The following is a 27210-nucleotide window of genomic DNA, read 5'->3' on the forward strand; positions in this document are numbered from 1 at the left end:
TCTGACAGCTTTGAAGAGAGCAGTAGTTCTCCCAGCATGCAGCTGGAGATCTGAGAACGGGCAGACTGCCTCCTCAAGTGGGTCCCTGACCCCTGACCCCCGAGCAGCCTAACTGGGAGGCACCCCCCAGCAGGGGCACACTCACACCTCACAGGGCAGGGTACTCCAACAGACCTGCAGCTGAGGGTCCTCTCTGTTAGACGGAAAACTAACAAACAGAAAGGACATCCACACCAAAAACCCATCTGTACATCACCATCATCAAACACCAAAAGTAGATAAAACCACAAAGATGGGGAAAAAACAGAACAGGAAAACTGGAAACTCTAAAAAGCAGAGCGCCTCTCCTCCTCCAAAGGAATGCAGTTCCTCACCAGCAACGGAACAAAGCTGGATGGAGAATGACTTTGACGAGCTGAGAGAAGAAGGCTTCAGTCGATCAAATTACTCTGAGCTACGGGAGGACATTCTAACCAAAGGCAAAGAAGTTGAAAACCTTGAAAAAAATTTAGAAGAATGTATAACTAGAATAACCAATACAGAGAAGTGCTTAAAGGAGCTGATGGAGCTGAAAACCAAGGCTCGAGAGCTACATGAAGAATGCAGAAGCCTCAGGAGCTGATGCGATCAACTGGAAGAAAGGGTATCAGCAATGGAAGATGAAATGAATGAAATGAAGCGAGAAGGGAAGTTTAGAGAAAAAAGAATAAAAAGAAATGAGCAAAGCCTCCAAGAAATATGGGACTATGTGAAAAGACCAAATCTACGTCTCATTGGTGTACCTGAAAGTGATGGGGAGAATGGAACCAAGTTGGAAAACATGCTGCAGGATATTATCCAGGAGAACTTCCCCAATCTAGCAAGGCAGGCCAACGTTCAGATTCAGGAAATACAGAGAACGCCACAAAGATACTCCTCGAGAAGGGCAACTGTAAGACACATAATTGTCAGATTCACCAAAGTTGAAATGAAGGAAAAAATGTTAAGGGCAGCCAGAGAGAAAGGTCGGGTTCCCCTCAAAGGGAAGCCCATCAGACTAACAGCGGATCTCTCGGCAGAAACCCCACAAGCCAGAAGACAGTGGGGACCAATATTCAACATTCTTAAAGAAAAGAATTTTCAACCCAGAATTTCATATCCAGCCAAACTAAGCTTCATAAGTGAAGGAGAAATAAAATACTTTACAGACAAGCAAATGCTGAGAGATTTTGTCACCACCAGGCCTGCCTTACAAGAGCTCCTGAAGGAAGCACTAAACATGGAAAGGAACAACCGGTACCAGTTGCTGCAAAATCATGACAAAATGTAAAGACCATCAACACTAGGAAGAAACTGCATCAACTAACGAGCAAAATCACCAGCTAACATCATAATGACAGGATCAAATTCACACATAACACTATTAACTTTAAATGTAAATGGACAAAATGCTCCAATTAAAAGACACAGACTGGCAAATTGGATAAAGAGTCAAGACCCATCAGTGTGCTGTATTCAGGAAACCCATCTCATGTGCAGAGACACACATAGGCTCAAAATAAAAGGATGGAGGAAGATCTACCAAGCAAATGGAAAACAAAAAAAGGCAGGGGTTGCAATCCTAGTCTCTGATAAAACAGACTTTAAACCAACAAAGATCAAAAGAGACAAAGAAGGCCATTACATAATGGTAAAGGGATCAATTCAACTAGAAGAGCTAACTATCCTAAATATATATGCACCCAATACAGGAGCACCCAGATTCATAAAGCAAGTCCTGAGTGACCTACAAAGAGACTTAGACTCCCACGCATTAATAAAGGGAGACTTTAACACCCCACTGTCAACATTGGACAGATCAACGAGACAGAAAGTCAACAAGGATACCCAGGAATTGAACTCAGCTCTGCACCAAGTGGACCTAATAGACATCTACAGAACTCTCCACCCCAAATCAACAGAATATACATTTTTTTCAGCACCACACCACACCTATTCCAAAATTGACCACATACTTGGAAGTAAAGCTCTCCTCAGCAAATGTAAAAGAACAGAAATTATAACAAACTATCTCTCAGACCACAGTGCAATCAAACTAGAACTCAGGATTAAGAATCTCACTCAAAGCCGCTCAACTACATGGAAACTGAACAACCTGCTCCTGAATGACTACTGGGTACATAACGAAATGAAGGCAGAAATAAAGATGTTCTTTGAAACCAACGAGAACAAAGACACAACATACCAGAATCTCTGGGATGCATTCAAAGCAGTGTGTAGAGGGAAATTTATAGCACTAAATGCCCACAAGAGAAAGCAGGAAAGATCCAAAATTGACAGCCTAACATCACAATTAAAAGAACTAGAAAAGCAAGAGCAAACACATTCAAAAGCTAGCAGAAGGCAAGAAATAACTAAAATCAGAGCAGAACTGAAGGAAATAGAGACACAAAAAACCCTTCAAAAAATTAATGAATCCAAGAGCTGGTTTTTTGAAAGGATCAACAAAATTGATAGACCGCTAGCAAGACTAATAAAGAAAAAAAGAGAGAAGGATCAAATAGACGCAATAAAAAATGATAAAGGGGATATCACCACAGATCCCACAGAAATACAAACTACCATCAGAGAATAATACAAACACCTCTACGCAAATAAACTAGAAAATCTAGAAGAAATGGATAAACTCCTCGACACATACACTCTCCCAAGACTAAACCAGGAAGAAGTTGAATCTCTTAATAGACCAATAACAGGAGCTGAAACTGTGGCAATAATCAATAGCTTACCAACCAAAAAGAGTCCAGCACCAGATGGATTCACAGCCGAATTCTACCAGAGGTACAAGGAGGAGCTGGTACCATTCCTTCTGAAACTATTCCAATCAATAGAAAAAGAGGGAATCCTCCCTAACTCATTTGATGAGGCCAGCATCATTCTGATACCAAAGCCAGGCAGAGACACAACAAAAAAAGAGAATTTTAGACCAATATCCTTGATGAACATTGATGCAAAAAATCCTCAATAAAATACTGGCAAACCGAATCCAGCAGCACATCAAAAAGCTTATCCACCATGATCAAGTGGGCTTCATCCCTGGGATGCAAGGCTGGTTCAATACACGCAAATCAATAAATGTAATCCAGCATATAAACAGAGCCAAAGACAAAAACCACATGAATATCTCAATAGATGCAGAAAAGGCCTTTGACAAAATTCAACAACCCTTCATGCTAAAAACTCTCAATAAATTAGGTATTGATGGGACGTATCTCAAAATAATAAGAGCTATCTATGACAAACCCACAGCCAATATCATACTGAATGGGCAAAAACTGGAAGCATTCCCTTTGAAAACTGGCACAAGACAGGGATGCGCTCTCTCACCACTCCTATTCAACATAGTGTTGGAAGTTCTGGCCAGGGCAATTAGGCAGGAGAAGGAAATAAAGGGTATTCAATTAGGAAAAGAGGAAGTCAAATTGTCCCTGTTTGCAGACGACATGATTGTATATCCAGAAAACCCCATTGTCTCAGCCCAAAATCTCCTTAAGCTGATAAGCAACTTCAGCAAAGTCTCAGGATACAAAATCAATGTACAAAAATCACAAGCATTCTTATACACCAATAACAGACAAACAGAGAGCCAAATCATGAGTGAACTCCCATTCACAATTGCTTCAAAGAGAATAAAATACCTAGGAATCCACCTTACAAGGGATGTGAAGGACCTCTTCAAGGAGAACTACAAACCACTGCTCAAGGAAATAAAAGAGGATACAAACAAATGGAAGAACATTCCATGCTCATGGGTAGGAAGAATCAATATCGTGAAAATGGCCATACTGCCCAAGGTAATTTACAGATTCAATGCCATCCCCATCAAGCTACCAATGACTTTCTTCACAGAATTGGAAAAAACTACTTTAAAGTTCATATGGAACCAAAAAAGAGCCCACATCACCAAGTCAATCCTAAGCCAAAAGAACAAAGCTGGAGGCATCACACTACCTGACTTCAAACTATACTACAAGTCTACAGTAACCCAAACAGCACGGTACTGGTACCAAAACAGAGATATAGATTAATGGAACAGAACAGAGCCCTCAGAAATAACGCCGCATATCTACAACTATCCGATCTTTGACAAACTTGAGAAAAACAAGCAATGGGGAAAGGATTCCCTGTTTAATAAATGGTGCTGGGAAAACTGGCAAGCCATATGTAGAAAGCTGAAACTGGATCCCTTCCTTACACCTTATTCAAAAATCAATTCAAGATGGATTAAAGACTTAAACGTTAGACCTAAAACCATAAAAACCCTAGAAGAAAACCTAGGCTTTACCATTCGGGACATAGGCATGGGCAAGGACTTCCTGTCTAAAACACCAAAAGCAATGGCAACAAAAGCCAAAATTGACAAATGGGATCTAATTAAAGTAAAGAGCTTCTGCACAGCAAAAGAAACTACCATCAGAGTGAACAGGCAACCTACAGAATGGGAGAAAATTTTCGCAATCTACTCATCTGACAAAGGGCTAATAATATCCAGAATCTACAATGAACTCAAACAAATTCACAAGAAAAAAACAAACAACCCCATCAAAAAGTGGGCAAAGTATATGAACAGACACTTCTCAAAAGAAGACATTTATGCAGCCAAAAAAACACATGAAAAAATGCTCATCATCACTGGCCATCAGAGAAATGCAAATCAAAACCATAATGAGATACCATCTCACACCAGTTAGAATGGCAATCATTAAAAAGTCAGGAAACAACAGGTGCTGGAGTGGATGTGGAGAAATAGGAACACTTTTACACTGTTGGTGGGACTGTAAACTAGTTCAACCATTGTGGAAGTCAGTGTGGCGATTCCTCAGGGATCTAGAACTGGAAATACCATTTGACCCAGCCATCCCATTACTGGGTATATACCCAAAGGACTATAAATCATGCTGCTATAAAGACACATGCACACGTATGTTTATTGCGGCATTATTCACAACAGCAAAGACTTGGAACCAACCCAAATGTCCCACAATGATAGACTGGATTAAGAAAATGTGGCGCATATACACCATGGAATACTATGCAGCCATAAAAAATGATGAGTTCACGTCCTTTGTAGGGACATGGATGAAATTGGAAATCATCATTCTCAGTAAACTACTGCAAGAACAAAAAACCAAACACCGCATATTCTCACTCATAGGTGGGAATTGAACAATGAGATCACATGGACACAGGAAGGAGAATATCACACTCTGGGGACTGTTGTGGGGTGGGGGTAGGGGGGAGGGATAGCATCGGGAGATATACCTAATGCTAGATGACGAGTTAGTGGGTTCAGCGCACCAGCATGGCACATGTATGCATATGTAACTAACCTGCACAATGTGCACATGTACTCTAAAACTTAAAGTATAATTTAAAAAAAAAAAGATAATTCACCATGATCAAGTAGGAGTTATCCCAGGGTTGCAAAGATGGTTCATATATGCAAATCAATAAATGTGATATAATACATCAATAGAATAAAGGAAAAAGTCTTACGATCATCATAATAGAAACCAAAACAAAGCAATTCATAAATCTTCATCCTAAAATTTCTTCATCATAAAGTCTCTCAAAAATTGGACATAGAATTAGATATACCCCTACACAATAAAGGCCATTTATGACAAACCCACAACTAACAGTACACTGAACAGAGAAAAGCTTAAAGCATTTTCTACAAGAACTGGAATAGGACAAGTATGCCTACTTTTACCACTCTTATTCAACATACTACTAGCAGACCTAGGCAGAGCAGTTTGGCAACAGGATGAAATAAAGGGCATCCAAATTGGAAAAGAGGATGTCAACTTATCCCTCCTTGTAAATGAGATAATCTTACATATAGAAAAACCTGAAGACTTCACAAAAAACTCTTATGACTAAGAAATGAGTTTAATAAAGTTGCAGGATATAAAAATTAACATACAAAAAAATCAGTAGCATTCCTATTTACCAAAAACAAGCTAGCTGAAAAGGAACTGGAGAAGGAAATCCCATTTATAATAGCTTAAATAAAATAATAAAATACTTAGGAATAAATTTAACCAAGGAGGTAAATAATCTCTACAATTAAAACTGCAAAACACTGATGAAAAAAATTGAAGAGGGCATAAAAATCAAAAGACATGCCATGCTCATGGATTAGAACAGTTAATATTGTCAAAATGACCATACAACCCAAAGCAATTTATAGATTCAATGTAATCCCTATTAAAAATTGCAATTACATTTTTCTTCAAATAAATAGGGAAAAATCCTAAAATTTGTATTGAACCCAAACAAATACAAGTAGTCAAAGTAATACTGAGCAAAGGGAGGAATAACACTATGTGACTTCCAAGTATATCACAAAGCAATAGTAACCAAAACAGCATAGCATTGCTATAAAAACTGACACACAGACAAATAGAACAGTATAGAGAACACTGAAACAAATCTATGTATTTTACAGTCAACTCACTTTTGACATAGGCTCTAAGAACATACACTGGGGAAAAGACACCCTCTATAATAAATGGTGTTGAGAAAACTGGATATTCATATGCAGAGGAATAAAACCAGATCCCCATCTTTCACCAGAACCAAAAATTGACACAAAATATATTAACAACTTAAATGTAAGACCCAAAACTATAAAACTACTAGAAAAAAACAGAGGGGGATTTCTTTGGGACTCTGGTCTGAGCAAAGATTTTTATGGATAAGGTTACAAAGGCACAGGTACCAAAAAGAAAAATGGACAAACAAGACTATATGAAACTTTTAAAGAGCTTTTGCTCAGCGAAGGAAACAATCACAGAGTGAACAGACAATCTGTATATTGGGAGAAAATATCTACAAACTATTTACCTGACAAGGGCCTTTTACCTAGAATATACAAGGAACTCAAACAACTTAACAGCAATAATAATAATGGTAATAATCCCATTAAGAGGTGGAAAAGAATCTGAAAGACATTTCTCAGAAGAAGAAATACAAATGGCCAAAAAGTATATAAAAAATGTTCAGCATCACTAATCATCAGGGAAATGCAAATCAAAACCACCATAAGATATCACCTCACCCCAGTTAGAATGGCTATTATCAAAAAGACAAAAAATAAGAAATACTGGCTAGGATGCAGAGAAAAGGGAATTCATACATTGTTGGAAGGAATTATAGTTAGTACAACTATTATGAAAAACAGTATGGAGGTTCCTTAAAAAACTAAAAATAGAAATATCATATAATCCAGCAATCCTGTTATTGGGTATTTAGCCAAAGGAAAGGAAACTTGTGTATCAAAGTGACATCTTCACCCCCATGTTTATAACAGCACTATTCACTATAGCCAAGATGTGATATCAACCTAAATGTCCATCAATAGATGAGTAGATAAAATAATTATGGTATATATGCACAATGGAATACTATTCAACCATAAAAAGAAATGGGACGTTGTCATTTTTTGCAACATGGATGAACCTGAAGGGCATTATGTTAAATTAGTCAAGCACAGAAAGATCAATACCACATTCTTACTTATATATGGGATCTAAAAAATTGAGCTCATGAAATAAAAGGGTAGAATTGTGGTTTTCAGAGGCTGAGAAGTTAGGGATGAGAAAGGCAAAGAGAGAAGTTGGTTAACTGATACAAAATTACAGCTAGACATAATAAATAAGTTATGTTCTATAGCACTATAATGTGAATAGAGCTAACAATAATTTATTGTGTATGTTCAAAAAGCTAGACTGGAGAATTATGAATATTTCCAATACGAAGAAATGATAAATGTTTTAGGTGATGGTTATACTAATTACTCTGATTTAATCACTGCATATTTCATACAGGCATCAAAATATCATTCTGCATCCTATAAATATGTAAAATTATTATGGTAACTATAGATAAAGTGAAGGAAACAAAAAATGCAAAAAACCAACCAAAATCATGTAAATACAATTTTTAAAGAATTTTTATGACTTCATTATTATTTTTGATTTGTGGGACTATATATTTCACAGCAATTTCAATGTACCTTCTAGATATTATATAGACACCTATGATCTGAACTTAAAGTTTTAGAAGATTTCTACCTATAATAGGTTTTTGGATATTTAAATTTTGGTTTTTTTTTCTAGGTTTGAGGTCAGCGAAGAAAATTGACATTTTAAATTAATATAGGAATGATGGCCTAATTAATCTTCTTGACAGTGAACTCCTGTGTGTCAAGAGTCAATCCATAGGACACTGCATCCTGAATATATTAACTTCCCAATTGTTCATATATTAAACTAAAAGATTTTCATCAGATTTCTTCTTAGCTGAACTTCCAATTCATGTCTTATGGGGCTTTTGTTTGGCTTTTCCATAAATCATGGCAAACCAAATGTGGCACAAGTTTGATTTTTGAAAAAAATTATTATTGCTTACCCTGGGTACAGTTATACATATAGGATATATATACAGTATATATATAGGATATATACACACACACACACACACATATCCTATATATATGGTATATATATACATATCCCTGTTTAAAAAATCCCTTTAAGTATACAACTCTACCTTATGCATTTAGGTAGAAACAAAAACAATTGTCTACAACACTTGAACTTTTTCTTTTAGACTAGACCCTGTTTATAATTATACACGTTCTACATAATATAAACTAGTTCAATGTAAAGACAGTTTGTCAGAAAGCAACAGCACACAGCCAATCTGAGACAATGTAACAGATAAATGGTTGGTTAACCTCCCAAGGGTAAGATTATGAAATCACTTAGTGAGGCTGGGTCCCTTCCAGTTTTCTTATGCTATGTCTCTTTAAAATATATGTACATGAAGAAATACACGGACATGCTATGACTCTTTAAAATACATGTACATGAAGAATATTTTAAACCAAAATGGATGTACACATGTTTTATAAATATTATAGCACCCTAGTTCTTAATGTGTTCCTCATCAGAATTTGAATAGTGAGAATGTAATCCTACACATTTAAAAAATTAAATAAATAAAAGGCAGCTATCCTTTATGAATAATACCATGAAATTGAGTCTGAGTTAGATTTCCAAAATATGGAAAAATGAGGTTTCTTTTTGCCTATCATTACTATGATGACAATTATGAATTGATCTATAATGAATATTAATTAAATGAATATTAAGTAATGACACTGATGAAACATTTATTGAGAGCTGACAATATGCTTTATCCCTGCTCTTTCAACAAAAAAGAACGTTGCATAGGCACAAACCTTTGGTAGATGACATAGGATTTCAAGGAAATAGATGACTTCAGTAACTTTGCTTAAAGGTTAAAGAGGTAAATTTAAAAGAAGGGTGAAACAGCCATAATGATGTGAAATAAAAGCTGAAGCTCAGTGCAGCAAGACACATCCTTAGTTAGTTATATGTTCACACCTCCCCACCAGACTCTGCATTTCTGGAAGTTTTATAACTAGCCTAGGAATAATATTACAGAGAATTCAAAATTCAAATTTCAGAATCACAGAAGATTTGAATATCTCCCACCCTCCTTGAATTAGCTGATGTGTAGCATTGGGATTGTCATTATTAACTCTTGCCGATAAAAGTCAGATGAAAAAATCTACAGAAAGTTTCCATACTACTGGAGCTGTGAGAAAGAGACACACACCATACTTCTACTTCCTAACAAACTTTCTGACATTGCTGAGAAATAATGACTTAGTTCAACACATGCTCTAAGGAAAGATTTAACATACTCTATGCTATTTAAGACTTAATCACCATATTTACAATGCATAATTTAGTAGAATTCTTAAAATTGTGGAAGAGCAAGCAAGATCGGAAGAAGAGGAGAAGTTAATATGACATATGGTTTTCTGAGGGTGTTATAGGTAGAGATACGTAGATTGCTGCTTCAGCAACATCACAACTTAGCCAAGTTTTCAGAGTTACAGTGAAGAAAAAAGAGATGCAGAACTGGGACCATTTTAAGTTTCAGCAACATAGATGGAACTGGAGGTCAATATGATAGGTGAAATAAGCCAAGCACAGAAAGATTAATATTACATGTTCTCATTCATATGTGGGAGTTAAAAAGTTAATTCCATGCGGGTAGAGAGTAGAATGATGGTTATCAGAGGATGGGAAGAGTTTGCATGTTTGTGGAGTAGGGGGATAAAGAGAGGTTGGTTAATGGATACAAACACGAGGTTAGATAGAAGAAATAAATTTTAATGTTCAATAGTAGAGTAGAATGACGATAGTTTCACACATTGTATGTTTCAAAATAGCTGGAAGAGAGGACTTCCCAACATAAAGAAATAATGAAATACTCAAGGTGATGTATACCCTAAATACCCTGACCTGATCATTACACATTTTATGCATGTAACAAAATATTACATGTACCCCATAAACATGTACAAATATTATATATCAATACAGAATAAAATTCATATTTTATATTTATAATTTTAATAAATATGATTTAAAAATTACGTTTATAAAACAGGATTAATTAATTTTAATACTAAAGAATATTTTTTAAATATACATTTTTCAAATAGTTTTGTTGTCCTTTCTGTGAACTAACAAGCTTCATAATTTATCTTGATGGTATTTTTATTAACTCTATTCTTCTTTTTTAAACTTTACTTTAAAGTTCTGGGATACATGCGCAGAATGTGCAGGTTTGTTCCACAGGTATACATGTGCCATGGTGGTTTGCTGCACCTATCAACCCATCATCTAGGTTTCAAGCCCCACATGCATTAGGTATTTGTCCTAATGTTCTCCCTCCCCTAACCCCCTACCACTCGACAGGCCCTGGTGTGTGATGTTCCCTTCCCTGTGCCCATGTGTTCTCATTGTATTAACTCTATTCTTAAAGGCTCATCAGATATTATAACAAGAGAGTGTATTCCAGGAAGAACACACCATAACTGGTCTAAAGGGCTATGGTGCTGAACATATTCATTGTTTCACATCCTATCATTTCCTGCTAATGGACAGTAATAATATGGTTAAGTTCAAAAGTGAGATAAATTACCCTGGGCAGTATGGCAATTTTCACGATATTGATTCTTCCTACCCATGAGCATGGAATGTTCTTCCATTTGTTTGTATCCTCTTTTATTTCCTTGAGCAGTAGTTTGTAGTTCTCCTTGAAGAGGTCCTTCACATCCCTTGTAAGGTGGATTCCTAGGTATTTTATTCTCCTTGAAGCAGTTGTGAATGGGAGTTCACTCATGATTTGGCTCTCTGTTTGTCTGTTATTGGTGTATAAGAATGCTTGTGATTTTTGTACATTGATTTTGTATCCTGAGACTTTGCTGAAGTTGCTTATCAGCTTAAGGAGATTTTGGGCTGAGACAATGGGGTTTTCTAGATATACAATCATGTCGTCTGCAAACAGGGACAATTTGACTTCCTCTTTTCCTAATTGAATACCCTTTATTTCCTTCTCCTGCCTAACTGCCCTGGCCAGAACTTCCAACACTATGTTGAGTAGGAGTGGTGAGAGAGGGCATCCCTGTCTTGTGCCAGTTTTCAAAGGGAATGCTTCCAGTTTTTGCCCATTCAGTATGATATTGGCTGTGGGTTTGTCATAGATAGCTCTAACTATTTTGAAATACGTCCCATCAATACCTAATTTATTGAGAGTTTTTAGCATGAAGGGTTGTTGAATTTTGTCAAAGGCCTTTTCTGCATCTATTGAGATAATCATGTGGTTTTTGTCTTTGGCTCTGTTTATATGCTGGATTACATTTATTGATTTGCGTGTATTGAACCAGCCTTGCATCCCAGGGATGAAGCCCACATGATCATGGTGGATAAGCTTTTTGATGTGCTGCTGGATTTGTTTTGCCAGTATTTTATTGAGGATATTTGCATCAATGTTCCTCAAGGATATTGGTCTAAAATTCTCTTTTTTGGTTGTGTCTCTGCCCGGCTTTGGTATCAGGATGATGCTGGCCTCATCAAATGAGTTAGGGAGGATTCCCTCTTTTTCTATTGATTGGAATAGTTTCAGAAGGAATGGTACCAGTTCCTCCTTGTACCTCTGGTAGAATTCGGCTGTGAATCCATCTGGTCCTGGACTCTTTTTGGTTGGTAAGCTATTGATTATTGCCACAATTTCAGATCCTGTTATTGGTCTATTCTTCCTGGTTTAGTCTTAGGAGACTGTATGTGTCGAGGAATTTATCCATTTCTTCTAGATTTTCTAGTTTATTTGCGTAGAGGTGTTTGCAGTATTCTCTGATGGTAGTTTGTATTTCTGTGGGATCGGTGGTGATATCCCCTTTATCATTTTTATTGCGTCTATTTGATTCTTCTCTCTTTTTTTCTTTATTAGTCTTGCTAGCGGTTTATCAATTTTGATGCCATCCCCATCAAGCTACCAACGACTTTCTTCACAGAATTGGAAAAAACTACTTTAAAGTTCATATGGAACCAAAAAAGAGCCCGCATCGCCAAGTCAATCCTGAGCCAAAAGAACAAAGCTGGAGGCATCACACTACCTGACTTCAAACTATACTACAAGGCTACAGTAACCCAAACAGCATGCTACTGGTACCAAAACAGAGATATAGATCAATGGAACAGAACAGAACCCTCAGAAATAATGCCACATATCTACAACTATCTGATCTTTGACAAACCTGAGAAAAACAAGCAATGGGGAAAGGATTCCCTATTTAATAAATGGTGCTGGGAAAACTGGCTAGCCATATTTAGAAAGCTGAAACTGGATCCCTTCCTTACACCTTATACAAAAATCAATTCAAGATGGATTAAAGACTTAAATGTTAGACCTAAAACCACAAAGACCCTAGAAGAAAACCTAGGCTTTACCATTCGGGACATAGGCATGGGCAAGGACTTCGTGTCTAAAACACCAAAAGCAATGGCAACAAAAGCCAAAATTGACAAATGGGATCTAATTAAACTAAAGAGCTTCTGCACAGCAAAAGAAGCTACCATCTGAGTGAACAGGCAACCTACAGAATGGGAGAAAATTTTCACAACCTACTCATCTGACAAAGGGCTAATATCCAGAATCTACAATGAACTCAAACAAATTTACAAGAAAAAAACAAACAACCCCATCAAAAAGTGGGCGAAGGACATGAACAGACACTTCTCAAAAGAAGACATTTATGCAGCCAAAAAACACATGAAAAAATGCTCACCGTCACTGGCCATCAGAGAAATGCTAATCAAAACCACAATGAGATACCATCTCACACCAGTTAGAATGGCAATCATTAAAAAGTCAGGAAACAACAGGTGCTGGAGAGGATGTGGAGAAATAGGAACACTTTTACACTGCTGGTAGGACTGTAAACTAGTTCAGCCATTGTGGAAGTCAGTGTGGCGATTCCTCAGGGATCTAGAACTAGAAATACCATTTGACCCAGCCATCCCATTACCGGGTATATACCCAAAGGACTATAAATCATGCTGCTATAAAGACACATGCACACGTATGTTTATTGCGGCATTATTCACAATAGCAAAGACTTGGAACCAACCCAAATGTCCCACAATGATAGACTGGATTAAGAAAATGTGGCGCATATACACCATGGAATACTATGCAGCCATAAAAAATGATGAGTTCACGTCCTTTGTAGGGACATGGATGAAATTGGAAAGCATCATTCTCAGTAAACTATCTCAAGAACAAAAAACCAAACACCGCATATTCTCACTCATAGGTGGGAAATGAACAATGAGAACACATGGACACAGGAAGGGGAACATCACACTCTGGGGCCCGTTGTGGGGTGGGGTTAGGGGAGAGGGATATCAATGGGAGATATACCTAATGCTAGATGACGAGTTAGTGGGTGCAGCGCACCAGCATGGCACATGTATACATATGTAACTAACCTGCATGTTGTGCACATGTACCCTAAAACTTAAAGTATAATAATTAAAAAAAATAAAAATAAAAATAAAAAAAGAGATATGAGAGTTGGCAGGGGCTAGAAATCCAGTTTAAAAAAAAAGTGAGATAAATAATCATCTAAAAATGATTTTAAAATTTTAAATAATTTTCTATTCTAAGACAAATGTTCTGTTTTAGGAAATATTTAATCATTATTTTCTTCATTAGGAATGGGTTTATAGTACAGAAAGAATTAAACAACCATAAAAGCGGACTCATTTGTAGGACAAAATAACACAGTATGGGGAAAATGATCCTTTGCACTTCTGAGTAGAGAACAGCCAGAAGAAACCATTCTTCATAAAGATGTTCACTATCATGTTACTTATAATAACAAAATGAGGAATTGAAAAGATGCTAGACAAAAACAGTTTCAACTAAAATATGACTTCTTTACTTAATGAGATTACACAGGCATTAACAGTGATGTCCCATAGTATATGGAAATACATAAAAATTTAAGGATATCAAGTTAAGTGTTAAAATATAATGCCACATGGTATATTCAGGTTAACTTTAAAAAGGTGAAAAAAAAACCTAAAAATCAGGAAGGTAATTTTAATAGTGTTTCTATTTATATATTAATTGTAATTCTTCTTATATAACTGTATCACAGGTTTTTAAATGTTTAAATTCTTTTTCTTTATTATTTTAAAATTTTGTATGATTACATAGTTATGGTATGATAAAATGTTAAAATTCACTTTTCAAATTACAGCATAACACTTATAATAGTAATATTAGATGATATCATCTTAGCACTCACCATCAGCTATGCATAGTTATAAGCAATTTTCATGAATTAACTCATTTGATTTTATTTACAAATGGAATACAGAGGGACAAAATGTTAATAGCTCGCTTCATATCACAAAACTAGTGAAAAACCCAGGATTAAAATACAAATGGTATACTGCCAGAGTTCTAAGGTAACTGAACCAATTTACTCTCTCACCTGCAATGGATGAACAATTTGGCTGAATCTTAACAAAGCTTAGGCTTTTTAACGTGCTTGTATCATTCTCTTCAGTGTCTGGTGTTATCTCCTGATACTTAACATCAATTTTCTTGATAAGTAATGATGGTGAGTGCATATTCATATGTTTATAGGTGGTTTATCAATAGACTTAGTTCAAATGCCTGTTTAGGTCTCTTGCCCTTTTCAACTGAATTGTTTGTTTATTATTGATCTATATCAATTCTTTTTATATTTCACATACAAGTCATTTGCCACCATTTTGAAACTACTGGATGGAAACGACTTGCCCACAGATCAGGAGTTCATGTAAGAACTCTGGACTCTAGTCTTCCACACTTTCTGGCTATCATTATTCTCTCTTCCTTCTTTCTCTTCTTCCTTTTCTTTCCTTCTCTTCTTTCTTTTCTTTTCCCTTCCTCCCTTCCTCCCTTCCTCCCTTCCTTCCTTCCCTCCTTCCCTCCTTCCCGCTCCCCTCCCCTCCACTCCCCTCCCTTCCCTCACTTCCTTCCTTCCTTCCTTCTTTCCTCCCTTCCTTTCTCTCTCTGTCTCATAAATCTTCCACACTTCTCCTCTTTTCTAAAACTTTTAACTGGGCTCCCTGGAACCAGTGTGCAAAAAAAAACAAATTATCCTTTTCCTTTCTAAATGATTGCCACTTTTGCTAATAACACTTCTGAAAAGAGGCAGCTCACTCTCTCAATCCTTACAACTGCTATAGTTTTAAGGGCAATCTCTTGGCCTTCCATCAAAATTACCATTTGTCCAGCTACAAAGCTGGACTTGAGGTTCATGAAATCTTTACACTTGAGGTTCATGAAATCTAATAGTTCTCCTCTACCCTTATTCATTACTGTCAAGTAATAACTATTTTTAAAACTCTGCAACTATCCTGGATGGTTTTAAGGATAATATCCAATAAGTCATTCTCAGAGTTCCCTTACTTTCTAACATCTAATGAACTTCCCCTGCACATCAGTTGAGCCACCCAGATTCATGGCTGCATATTGGATCTTACCATCATCTGAAAATAATCTATTTTGAAATCACATCAAATCCTAATGTTCTACTCTCTGCTACAGTTTTCTCTCCTGGTTGCCTAATTTTCTTTCTCTGTTGGTGTCTCTTGACTATTCACATTGCAGTCTCCTAGTGATACTCTCATATCTCTTCTGCTCCCTGCTTTACATTTCTTTTACACCACACTGCTAGCAAAGCTGTCTTTCTACAACACAAAGTTAATCATTTAAGCTCATATTTATATTGGATAAAGCCGATCTCCTTGACAAGACAGGCCAGGAAGCCATTATCTTGGACCTTGTATTTTCTCCCTCTCCAGCCTCACCCTTACACATGCCCTTTAAAAAATATTTTGGAGTTTCATGATCACACTATGTACTCTCTTGTCACTGAGACTATTTATATAAACATCACTTTACATTTTCCTTCAAAATACCTATTTATGCTCAGACATCATTTCTTTAAGAAAAAGTTTAATTTACTGTTTTCCCTTGGGATGGATTAAGATTCCCACCTCTAGAGCCCCTGTAAGTGAGTATGTATCACACCCTAATATTTAACCTCTTTGGATGCTTCATCTAATTTACTCTGAATTGCAGGAAAGAAGACAACTGCTCTTATCTGGATTTTTAGCTCCATTGTCTTTAGTAAAAATTAAGGGGAAGAAAAAGGAAGAAAAGAAAGAAGGAAGGAAAGAAGGCAGGAAGAAAAGAGGAAAGAGAGGAAAAATAAACAGTAGAAAGCGAGCACTGCAGATATTGTGTATAAAAATAATGCAATGATCTTAAAGGTACCTTTAAGAAATAAAAATAACAATTCATATAAAACAATGGTTACTTATGTATCATACAACTTCAACTTTAAATAATCAGCATATTAACACTATGTCATTCATAATTCCAATTTATCAATATAAAATATTGATATTGATATGAAAAAAAGGCTAGGTAATTAACCCCTTTGTTAGAGAATTAAGAACCTTGCTCTTCAAGATCGATCGTGTTCTTGGCAAGAGCATGGATGGAGCTAAAGGCCATTTTCCTTAGGAAACTAATGTAGGAACAGAAAACCAAATACCACATGTTCTCACTTATAAATGAGAGCTCGATGATGAGAACACATGGACAGATAGAGGGCAACAACGACAGAGGGTGGAGGGTGGGAGGAGGAAGAGGATGAGGAAAAATAAGTAATGCATAGTAGGCTTAGTACCTGGGTGATGAAATAATCTGTACAACAAGCCCCCGTGACACAAGCTTACCTATATAATAAACCTGTACATGGACCCTTGAACCTAAAAGTTAAATTAAAATAAGGAATATTGTTTCTAAATTATAACACAAAATGTGTACATACAGAAAACAAAACTAAATCATGGAGGTGAATACAACAGAAATGATTTTTGTGATAATCTGCTTGATTTTACTCTTCAAAGTTTAAAATGTGATTTTCTCATGAGATATCTCAAGTCTTCTTTTGTTGATGGTGGCAGAATTAATTGAATAAAAGCCCCTCCAAAACTGAAAAATAATTACATAAATATGTGCACTCTTAAAGAGCCACTTTACCTCATCATAAAAATTATATAAAACTTAGAATGAATGTAAAACTAAAATATAATTCTAGAGAAATTGATCAGATTTGTAGCCTCCTATATGAGATTACTCTAAAATCAAAGGGATTCTATAGGCCTATTTTATCGATTTCTGTGACCTCACAAATTTATGTACTACCCAAAATAATTTCAAAAGTATGGACTTAAGCCATTGCAGAGAAACAGAAGAGAAATTTATGAATAGAATAGTGATAAAGGTATATATAAACACATAAAAATAAACAACTTATATTCCAACATCATAGTTCAATGTTAGTATAAATTTAATTATAAGCTTCTTAAGTACCAAAAATAAAAGCATGATGGCAACGACACATGAAGTCTAAGAGATAACATCATGATAAACAGAACTGAGAAGAACTTTTGTCAGGTAATGAAGGACATTTCCAACATATCTTTTTTTGTTAAAATAGGGAGTTTTATATGATTAATTTTTAAAACTCCCTTTCAATGCAGGCTGATGACATAATTGCTGAAGCCCAATTTAATTTAAGAGAAACTGAGAAGGGCTAAAACAACATAGACTACATCTGTCTTGAGTTAGGGGTAAATTAGAACATAGAAGAGTGAGTGGCTTGCATATGGCCTCATTAGGCCATATTCCATATGAGATTATTAAAATTTATTTGCAATGTCACTTTGTTTTGGATTGGCCAGCTGAGATTTCAGTGTGTTATCTGCAGCAAGAACCAAGAATGCATTTTTTAATAGATTCTATTAAAGGCAGAACATCTGTTTTGACAATCAGTTGGGAAGGGTTAATGGCCTTTTATAAATTAAGCAGCTTATCATGAGTCTCGATGAGTTGGGATTCATCCTACATTTTTTTGGAAGTAAAATAAGGGGAGGATTTAAGGAAATCTACCTTTGTAAACAGTTTCTGACCTCTCTTCAATATGGCAGTAAATGAACTATAGCTATAATTGTTACCAGAACATTTTTTTTCTTAAAAAAAAGCATTCTAAGTACCTAAACACAGTCATGGGAAAATCTTGACTAAATCACACATTAAATAAATTTTAAGTAATATAGATTTTTGATAGTACTTTCAAAAGATACTGGATGCCAATTGCAACCTCAGAAAACTAATTATATCTGATGTAGGGAATCATTGTTTAATTTTTATTTGAATGAAAACACCATATGATAATAATTTTAATTTCAGAGTAGTTGATTTTAACCCATTTTTATGGCAACAGCCATTATCAAGGCCAATTATCTGTGAAAGCCGTTTGTAATGCATGCTTATAAAAAGCATTTCATCAGTGCAGAGGAGATGCTTACCTTGCTAATCTCTGGAAATGGTGAGCATATATCTACTGAATCATTAACCTACAGCTTATAACAACGATTGGGGAGGAATGGGAAGGCTGAGAAGGGTGGTACAAATTTTTTTTAATGACCCTGGAGAAGGTGTTCTAAAATATGAGAAGACAATGGCTATGGATCTTGACCTTGTGGTATGTCATTAAGATACAAGGCTATGTGAGCTTCAACCAGAAATTAAGGATCCACGCTGTATTTATAGAGGTCATTCAATAACCAATTCCTAACTACAGAGTCAACGACTAAGGAAAAAATAAAACTAGACATCTTAAGTTCTCTAATATTTTTTATAATGTGATAGAGATAATATCAATATCCACTTTGTATTAACTGAGTCTGAACCTCATCTGCTCCTCTTAGAGAAGATTAGCCAAAGAAACTGGGGCATACAATTTCTTAAAGAGGAAACTGGTACTAAATAATAAAAACCAAAACAACATGATATATGTGAGGACTAACGATTTGCTTTAAATGAAGGGCTACAGGTCATGCAGTGTGAAATTATTCCTGGAAAGTTACTGAAAGTTCGCAGACTGAAAAGGCTCAGAGCCTATCAGCTGGAGCTGATTAAGCAATTTTGTGGGCAGAACAGTTTCATTAATTTGTTTGAAGTATGATCACTTAAATAGTTAATGTGTACAACAGTCAATATTTTTATTCCGTGACAAGAAAGTAACCTTTTAATTCGGACTTAGCTAGGTGGGCAAAATTTTAAAGCAAAGTGATTTAAATTGATTTATTAACACATACGAGACCCGAAGGGCTTGACACAACAAGTGCACTTAAAGAATTACAAGCAGTTCAATTATCCTTGATTTCTAGTGGATAAGGTACTATATGAGAGAATGAGTAGGTTGATCCAGTTAAAGACCCTTGTTTACTGTAATAGAGTGTTTGGGATTCAAATAGGGAATCACCAAAAATATTTTAAGAGTGAGAGGGACTTATAATATTTGCATTTTTTGAAAGTTGACCCAGGAAGCAGGTTGGGGTGTACAGAAAGGAGGTAGTTCACAAGGATGCTACTGGGACAATCCTAGAATAAAATTTGTGAGGCTGGTATACAAGACAGTCACAGTTGGGCTGAAGTAAAGAGACAGGATTAAGAACATTAGAATAGAATTGAGTAATATTATATTCCAGATGAGAAATAAAAAATGCTACTTAGGTTTCTAGTTTGGGAAAGTTGGGGTGTGAAGGTTTCAGTAGCTGAGATACAACAGATAAAATCTCTCTATTGGGATTTGGAGAAAATCTCAGAGCACAGCTCTGGAGTGATAACCACTCGGGCTCCACTTCTAAATTGCCATGTACTATTCATGGGACACTGGGAAATTTACTTAACCTCTTTGTTTCTCAGTTTCCTCATATGTAAAATGGGAACAATTATAATATTTATCTTATGTTGTCACTTTGAAAACAAAATGAATTTATATATTGTGTTACTTATAACCATACCCCTTCATAATCTCAATTCCTACCTCACTCACTCTCAACCTGACACCATTTACCTTGATTCCAACAACCTTTGACTTCACTGTAATTTACAATGTACTATTTCTAAAATCTATTACTGTACCTCATATTTAATGTTCTTACTTCCCTCACTTCCAGCTCAAATTCCACGATTAAGCCTTACAATTACTCCTTTGCATATATTCTCAACTCTCTGGCTGCCCTCTCTGTACATCACATTTGCCAAAAGACACGGTCACATGAAGACTGGGCTGTGCCTATTCCATTCATAAAGCTGGAATGTAACTAGATAAATATGACTGAATGTGAGTAAAGAAATATATTCATCCAAGCCGACTGGAATTATATACTAAATGGATGATTATTAACTAGAGGTAGCTGCTCTTTTCTCCTTGAAAATCACAGTTTCTTTGAACAATTTTGTTCCCACTTTCCTAGGTGACACAGGCTTCTTACACATCTTGCACCATCCTCACTCTAGCTAATGACCCAGGTTTCTATTTCTTTGAGAAAACAGAAGTATTATATCTTTTTGCCATTGTTGCCCCTCAACACTACACAGATTGTTCCTTTTAAAATATAAGTCAGATAATTTCTGGTTCTGGTCGGAATCCTCTAATGGCTTCCTATTTTATTCAGAGTAAAGGCCAAAGATTTTACAACGACCTAAATTGTCCCACCCAATATAAAAATCGTATGATATCTTTGAACTTCTATTTTTCCTCCTATACACTCAGGGCTAGCCACTAATCCCCCCAGTGCCTTTGAGATCTGTCAAGTGTCTACTGCCTCAGAATCTGTTGGTGAAGTTCTGTCCCCAGATAGCCACAGAGGTGACTCCCTCAAATCACTCAACTCTACTCAACTGTCTCTTCAGTGAACATCTTGACAGCCTCTTTTATCACTGCAGCCCCAACATTTCTTCTTTCTCTGCTTTAATTTTTCCCTTGACATTGAAAACAAAACCAGTACTTATTTATTGTGTATATTTAAGGCATATGATTACTGTACAATTAATGTTTTGATATTGTTAAACAAAAATTATCAAAGTCCATTGTTTTGGACTGAGCTCCTACAGGAGGCCCCAACAGACCAGACCAGACCAAACCAAAATGGAAACCAAACTTTAGTACAAACAACTTGTACTAAAGTGTCACATAATCAAGCTGAAATTTTAAGGAAGCAAACTGAATCCCAGAACACATCAGTTGTTTCTAAAAATGTGAAATTCAAGTCTACCTGACTTGGGATAATAAGGATGTAACCTCTCCTTTAACTCTTTACCCAAAGAGTAACCTGAAGTAACATGATGTTAAACAATCAGCTTTTGTTTTGTATTATTGTGTTTTCTTGTTCCCACCTTACAAAATCCACTGTTCTATGTCTAGTGGGAGCTCTCATTCTACTCTGTAGAATAGATGCTGTCCTAATTCATGAATAAAGGCCTATTTGATCTATAAATAAATGTGTTGTTATTTTGTTTTCAATAGTGTAAATATTCATAGTGAAATAATTATTATAGTTAAGCAAATTAACATAACCATCTCCTCACATCTCCTCATATAGTTACCCTTGTGTGTGTGCATGTGTGTGTGTGTATGTGTGTTAAGAGCACCTAGTCTCTTGGCAGATTTTCAGTATGTTATACTATATATATATATATATACACACACACATTTTTTTTTGAGACAGAGTCTCACTCTGTCACTCAGTCTGGAGTGCAGTGATGCAATCTTGGCTCACTGCAACCTCCGCCTCCAGGGTTCAAGCGATTCCCCTGCCTCAGCCTCCTCAGTAGCTGGGATTACAGGTGCCTGCCACCACGTACAGCTAAATTTTTGTATGTTTAGTTGAGATGGGGTTTCACCATGTTGGCCAGGGGGGGTCTTGAACTCCTGACCTCAAGTGATCCACCCACCTCGACCCCCCAAAATGCAGGGATTACAGGCGTGAGCCACCATGCCCAGCCATGTTGTACAATATTAGCTATAGTCATCATACTGTACATTGGATTTCTACAATTATTCATCTTATGTAACTGCAACTTTGTACTCTTTGACCAACATCTCCCCACTCCTCCCCTCTTCATATCTTCAGGGATCAACATTCTACTCTGTTTATGTATTTTAGTACAACCAGGTACTAAATAATTTATTTAGTTTTATTGTTTATTGTCTACATTACCCCTGCTGGAATGTAAACTCCATAAAAGCAAAGATTTGTCTTTGTTTTAATGTTTTCTTTCCTACCTATAATACTGTTTGGCACATACTAGGCATGCAATGAATATTTACTGAATAAATTAAATAATATTTTAGCATAGTCTCTGGGATAGCATATATGCTCAATCAAAAGAGCTATAATTATTGCAGTAGTAAATAATAATATATCGGGTATATGCACTTAAAATAATATGGGTCCTGCAGGTGGCAGTTCTAGGTTTGGAATTTAGGATAATGAGCTGAACATAAATTAACATGGTAATGCAATCAACTGAATAAACAAGATCTCATTGAGAAGAATACTAAGAGAGGAATGCCATGACATAGGAGGGTAGAATCCAGGGATGCACCGACATGGGCATGTCGACATTGTGAACCCAGGAAAGATACTGAAAGCAAGTATCCAGAGAAACAGAGAAAGGACCAGGAGTGAGGTATAATGGAAGTCAATGAAAGGTAGACATTTTGGAAGGACGAAATGCTCAATAGTCATCACACGCTTCAGAGTAGATAGTACCACAAAAATGGTAAACAACAAATGCTGAGATATAAATTATTAAAACTGTGGGGATATTTAATGATTAGAGATGAATCTTCAGAATAAAAACTGTCTAAAAACAGCAATGAAAGATTTTTCAAGATTGTTCAAAGACAAGAAAATTCACGTAACACACGCTCTTTACATTTGATTCTCTCAAAAAAAGAAGTGATAGCATAATAAAAAGAATACACCTTATGTTTGAATTTATATAACTAGAGGTTGACATAAGTGGGCCAAGGAGGCAGACCCCAGGCTCACTGAATTGAGTGGGGTCTTGCACAGACAGATGGGTAGTAGGAAGAAATCATAGATCTCATCTTAGAGTTAAAATCTGAGATCAAAAATGCATCTAAACCAGTAAAATTGCCATATTTCAAAATAAGAATATAAATAATACAAAAATTCTAGAAGTCTTCAAGACAACACTTAAATGAATAAAAACAACATTTAAATTAACCTAAAATGTAAAGTATTTTTATATGGCTCTCATTTTATTTAATTAATCTTATTTACCATAGGATGTCTAATAAACCTTACATGAAGAAAGGAAATTTAGAATTAGTTATTGCTATACTCAGCAATATGGAGGTATTTTCTTTTCCTCTATTTTTGTAGTTTGAGAAAATGAAGCATTTTTAATAATTTTGTGAAATAAAGGCATTTAAAATACAACCAGTATTTTACAGATAATTAGAATCATAAGTGGTACAAAATGAGTAATATGATTAATTTCTAGGTTGACCTTTAGAAAAGTATTTTTCTATCATTTCTTAGTTGTTATAATTTTATTATATCAAATGGAAGTTCCAGCCATTTAATTTCCATGTTGTTTTTCAAAATGAGAAGTGCATCATGGATATAAAATAGTTTGTTTTTTAAAATAACTTTAATTTTCAAAGTAATTTGGGTTTTGAATATGAATATTGTTTGAATATCTGCTTCTCTTCCTACCAAGGTTCGTTCTTTTCATAGTTACTTTACTCATGCATTTTCATTTCTATACTTATTGAATTAAGTAATTATTTTGCAGGTAGTTAAATTTATTGTTCAATAAAATTTTTTTTTTAAAAAACAGCTAATAGCAGTGCATAACTTTCTTCATGGATGTGTCATCATTTTAGGTAGCCTCTAACCTAGATGAGAGCCCTCAACATTGCAGATATATAATGTGCATCTCCAGCAAAATTGCCCATAAGAATAACTTCATTATTCTGGGAAGCTAGATCTATAAAATATATAAAATGTTGAAGTCTTCTGCCTTTACAATTCCTGGTAAGTAGCAGCACGACTAAGTGATAAAACCTGAGTCAGCGTCATTTCAAGCATATCGTTCTAGAAAGCGTATTTTGACAGAAGGAAAAAGGAAATATAGTGGACAAAGGTGTTCTGTTTCAGAGTAACGACGTATTTTAGATCTATATACTTCTACCTTGATTGATGAAAAATTATCTCTAGAAGCTTTTAATGGTATACGATACTGATAAGTCACAGCAATCCTAAGTTATAGTAGAATGATAAGGAAAAACTCACCAGTACCACTGGACAGATTGTTGTGGGTGGTAAAATATGGTCCTTCAAAGGTCCACAGTCACATTCAGGTTTTAGATGAGAAGCACATTTATTATGCAGCTAGAAAAACAGAAAGGGGGATAGTATCAAATTCTACATGACAACGCCTAACATGGGGGAGATTATATTTCAATCGAGATACAGCAAACACATTAAAAGTACAATAAAGAAATTATAAGAACAAATAAACAGAGTCATAAAGGAATTCATAATACATTTGTCCTTATATATGAACCCTAAATAAACCATCTAGCAGCTTCTGTGACCCATTCTATACATTTTATAATTCTCAGAAATGTTTATATTAAAAATGTACTTTAGGTTTTACACCAAAGAACCCTGATTTCTTTGACAAACACAAATTATTGTCCATTACAGTTCTTCCTTTGCTTATCTGTTAGCATAATCTTGAAACCACTGTGCCTGTGTATGCTTTTTTTTTTTTTTTTTGACCCTCCTGTTTTCTCAAAGTCATTCCAAAGTGCACAGCTCAGTATGGGGCATAATTGATCCCATCATTAGTTTTAACTTTGTAATTCAATATGTAAATGTAACCAGAGATTCATCTCAGTAGGAGCAGGATATAAATAAAAGAAGATGATTATGATTATAAAAATTTATCTGTATATTGTATTTATCAGCTCAACGTTAAGTTAGTATATAATCATACAATGTCCTATTTATTTTTTAATATGTATGAGCCCAAACTAATATTTTTATTAACCTGGTCATAAGTTTACATTAAGGTGTTACAACGTGGTGTTTTAAATAGTGATGTTTTAAAACTGAGATGGTAGTTTTTTAAAGAATTACACAGATTTGGTAAAATAATACTTGCTTGAGGGCATCTAGAGATTTCTCCCTCCTGCACTATGCATTAATTTGATATGAACTCTTCATACTTTAGAAAAAAATATACATTTCAATAAGATAACATGTTATGTTCAAAACAAAAAAGAGCCACATTATTTTTCCATTTTGAATCAAAAGCTACCTCATTTAAGCCTTGGCTGCATTAATTTCCACAACATACATACCTTTGTGAGCAGTTAATTATCAACTAAGCATAGGAGTCTAATGAGAGTTGATTTATTTTTAGTAATAGAACAGTATCAAAGAGGTATTTCTGCGGTCCTAGAATCTAACACTGCTGTCATGCTAACTCCCTGCATTGGAGTTAAGATGACTTGTACTGTAATTAATGCCCATTAGGTTACATTACATGAAATAAACGTATCTTTCCATGTTCATCCATAATTAGCAGCTCTGCTTCTCAGGGGCATATAAACTTCTCTATAAAAAAGTGATTTAATTGTATTAGGCACTACTGGTCTTTGTCAAGAGGCAAGAAGTGTTGAAGATAGAGAAGCAGCTGAATGCACAATAGAACTAAATAAACTGATACTCAGAGCAAATTAAAAGGTATAGTTTCCTCAAAATAAAATTAGTGACTTGTTTAAAATGTATTATTAATTTATTGGACCTAGTAATTAACTTTCTTAGAATCTGCCATGGCCATGGATGTTTGGATTTAGAGTTAACAGATTAGCAAGTGTTGGGATGGATCAATTTCTCCCAAAAGATATGCTGAAGTCCTAACTTCTGGGACCTTTGAATGTGAACTTAATTGGAAATACGGTCTTTCTAGATGTATTTAAGCTAAGATGTTGGTTTAGCTGGACCCTAATCCAATGACTGGTGTCCTTATAAGAAGAGGGGAATCTGGACAGAGAGACAACGGCACAGAGAGGAGAAGTCCCTCTGATAACATAGGTCGATATCTGAGTGATGCACTACAAGACAAAGAATTCCAGGGATTGCTGGCAACCACCAGAAGCTAGGAAGAAGCAGAAAAGGATTCTTCCAGAAAGCCTTCAGAGGGAGGATGACCTGCTGACATTTGGAATTCTAGCCTCCAGAGCTATGAGTGAATACATTCTTGTTGTTTTAGGCACCTATTATATGACATTTTGTTACAGCAGCCCTAGGAAACTAATAAACCCAGTACTATGAAAACGGCACTAAAACCAAAGAGAGATTATGGGTCTTAAGACTCTGCTGCACTATGGATGTCACAGAGAAAGAGCTTTGGCTCTTTAATCTTGGGCAACTTCCTTAAAACTGAGAAAACAGACGCTAAGAACCCTCTACAAAAAACAGATCTGAGATAAAAACCTATTTGTGTTTACAGCAAGAAAGTGTTGAAATATTATTCTTGATTACAGTGTAAAGCTAAACACGTGACTCTGAAGGCCACAGGGGCAGGACATACTGAGTCTTATGCCAACGCTGACTACAGATGCAGTCAGAGGCCTCAGCCTCCTCCACACCTCCATCCATGTGTTTCCAACAATTTGCAACTGACATGGTAAAGGACGACTAAGCTCTCTGTATAGTTATTTGAGGGTTACTGATGTAAGAAAGGATGACAAAAATAAAATTAATTTGATGATAGTTTGGGGGCATTTAGGCTAGTTTCCCAGAAGGA

General features: G+C 35.6%; 1 protein-coding gene across 26 annotated transcripts in view; it reads right to left on the reverse strand.

Moving 5' to 3' along the window:
- DGKB (diacylglycerol kinase beta) overlaps positions 1 to 27210 on the reverse strand; it is an 829810-nt gene that overhangs the window by 503197 nt on the left and 299403 nt on the right. For all 26 annotated transcript variants that reach the window (XR_001744571.2, NM_001350722.2, NM_001350711.2 and 23 more), the window contains one exon: positions 24684 to 24782. Coding sequence is in view for 25 of the 26 variants with exons in the window: in NM_001350722.2 (NP_001337651.1) it covers positions 24684 to 24782 (99 nt within the window). In the remaining variant the exon portion in view is untranslated. The remainder of the gene's footprint in view (positions 1 to 24683; positions 24783 to 27210) is intronic.

Source organism: Homo sapiens, chromosome 7 (assembly GCF_000001405.40).
Source record: "Homo sapiens chromosome 7, GRCh38.p14 Primary Assembly".
Lineage (NCBI taxonomy): Eukaryota > Metazoa > Chordata > Mammalia > Primates > Hominidae > Homo > Homo sapiens.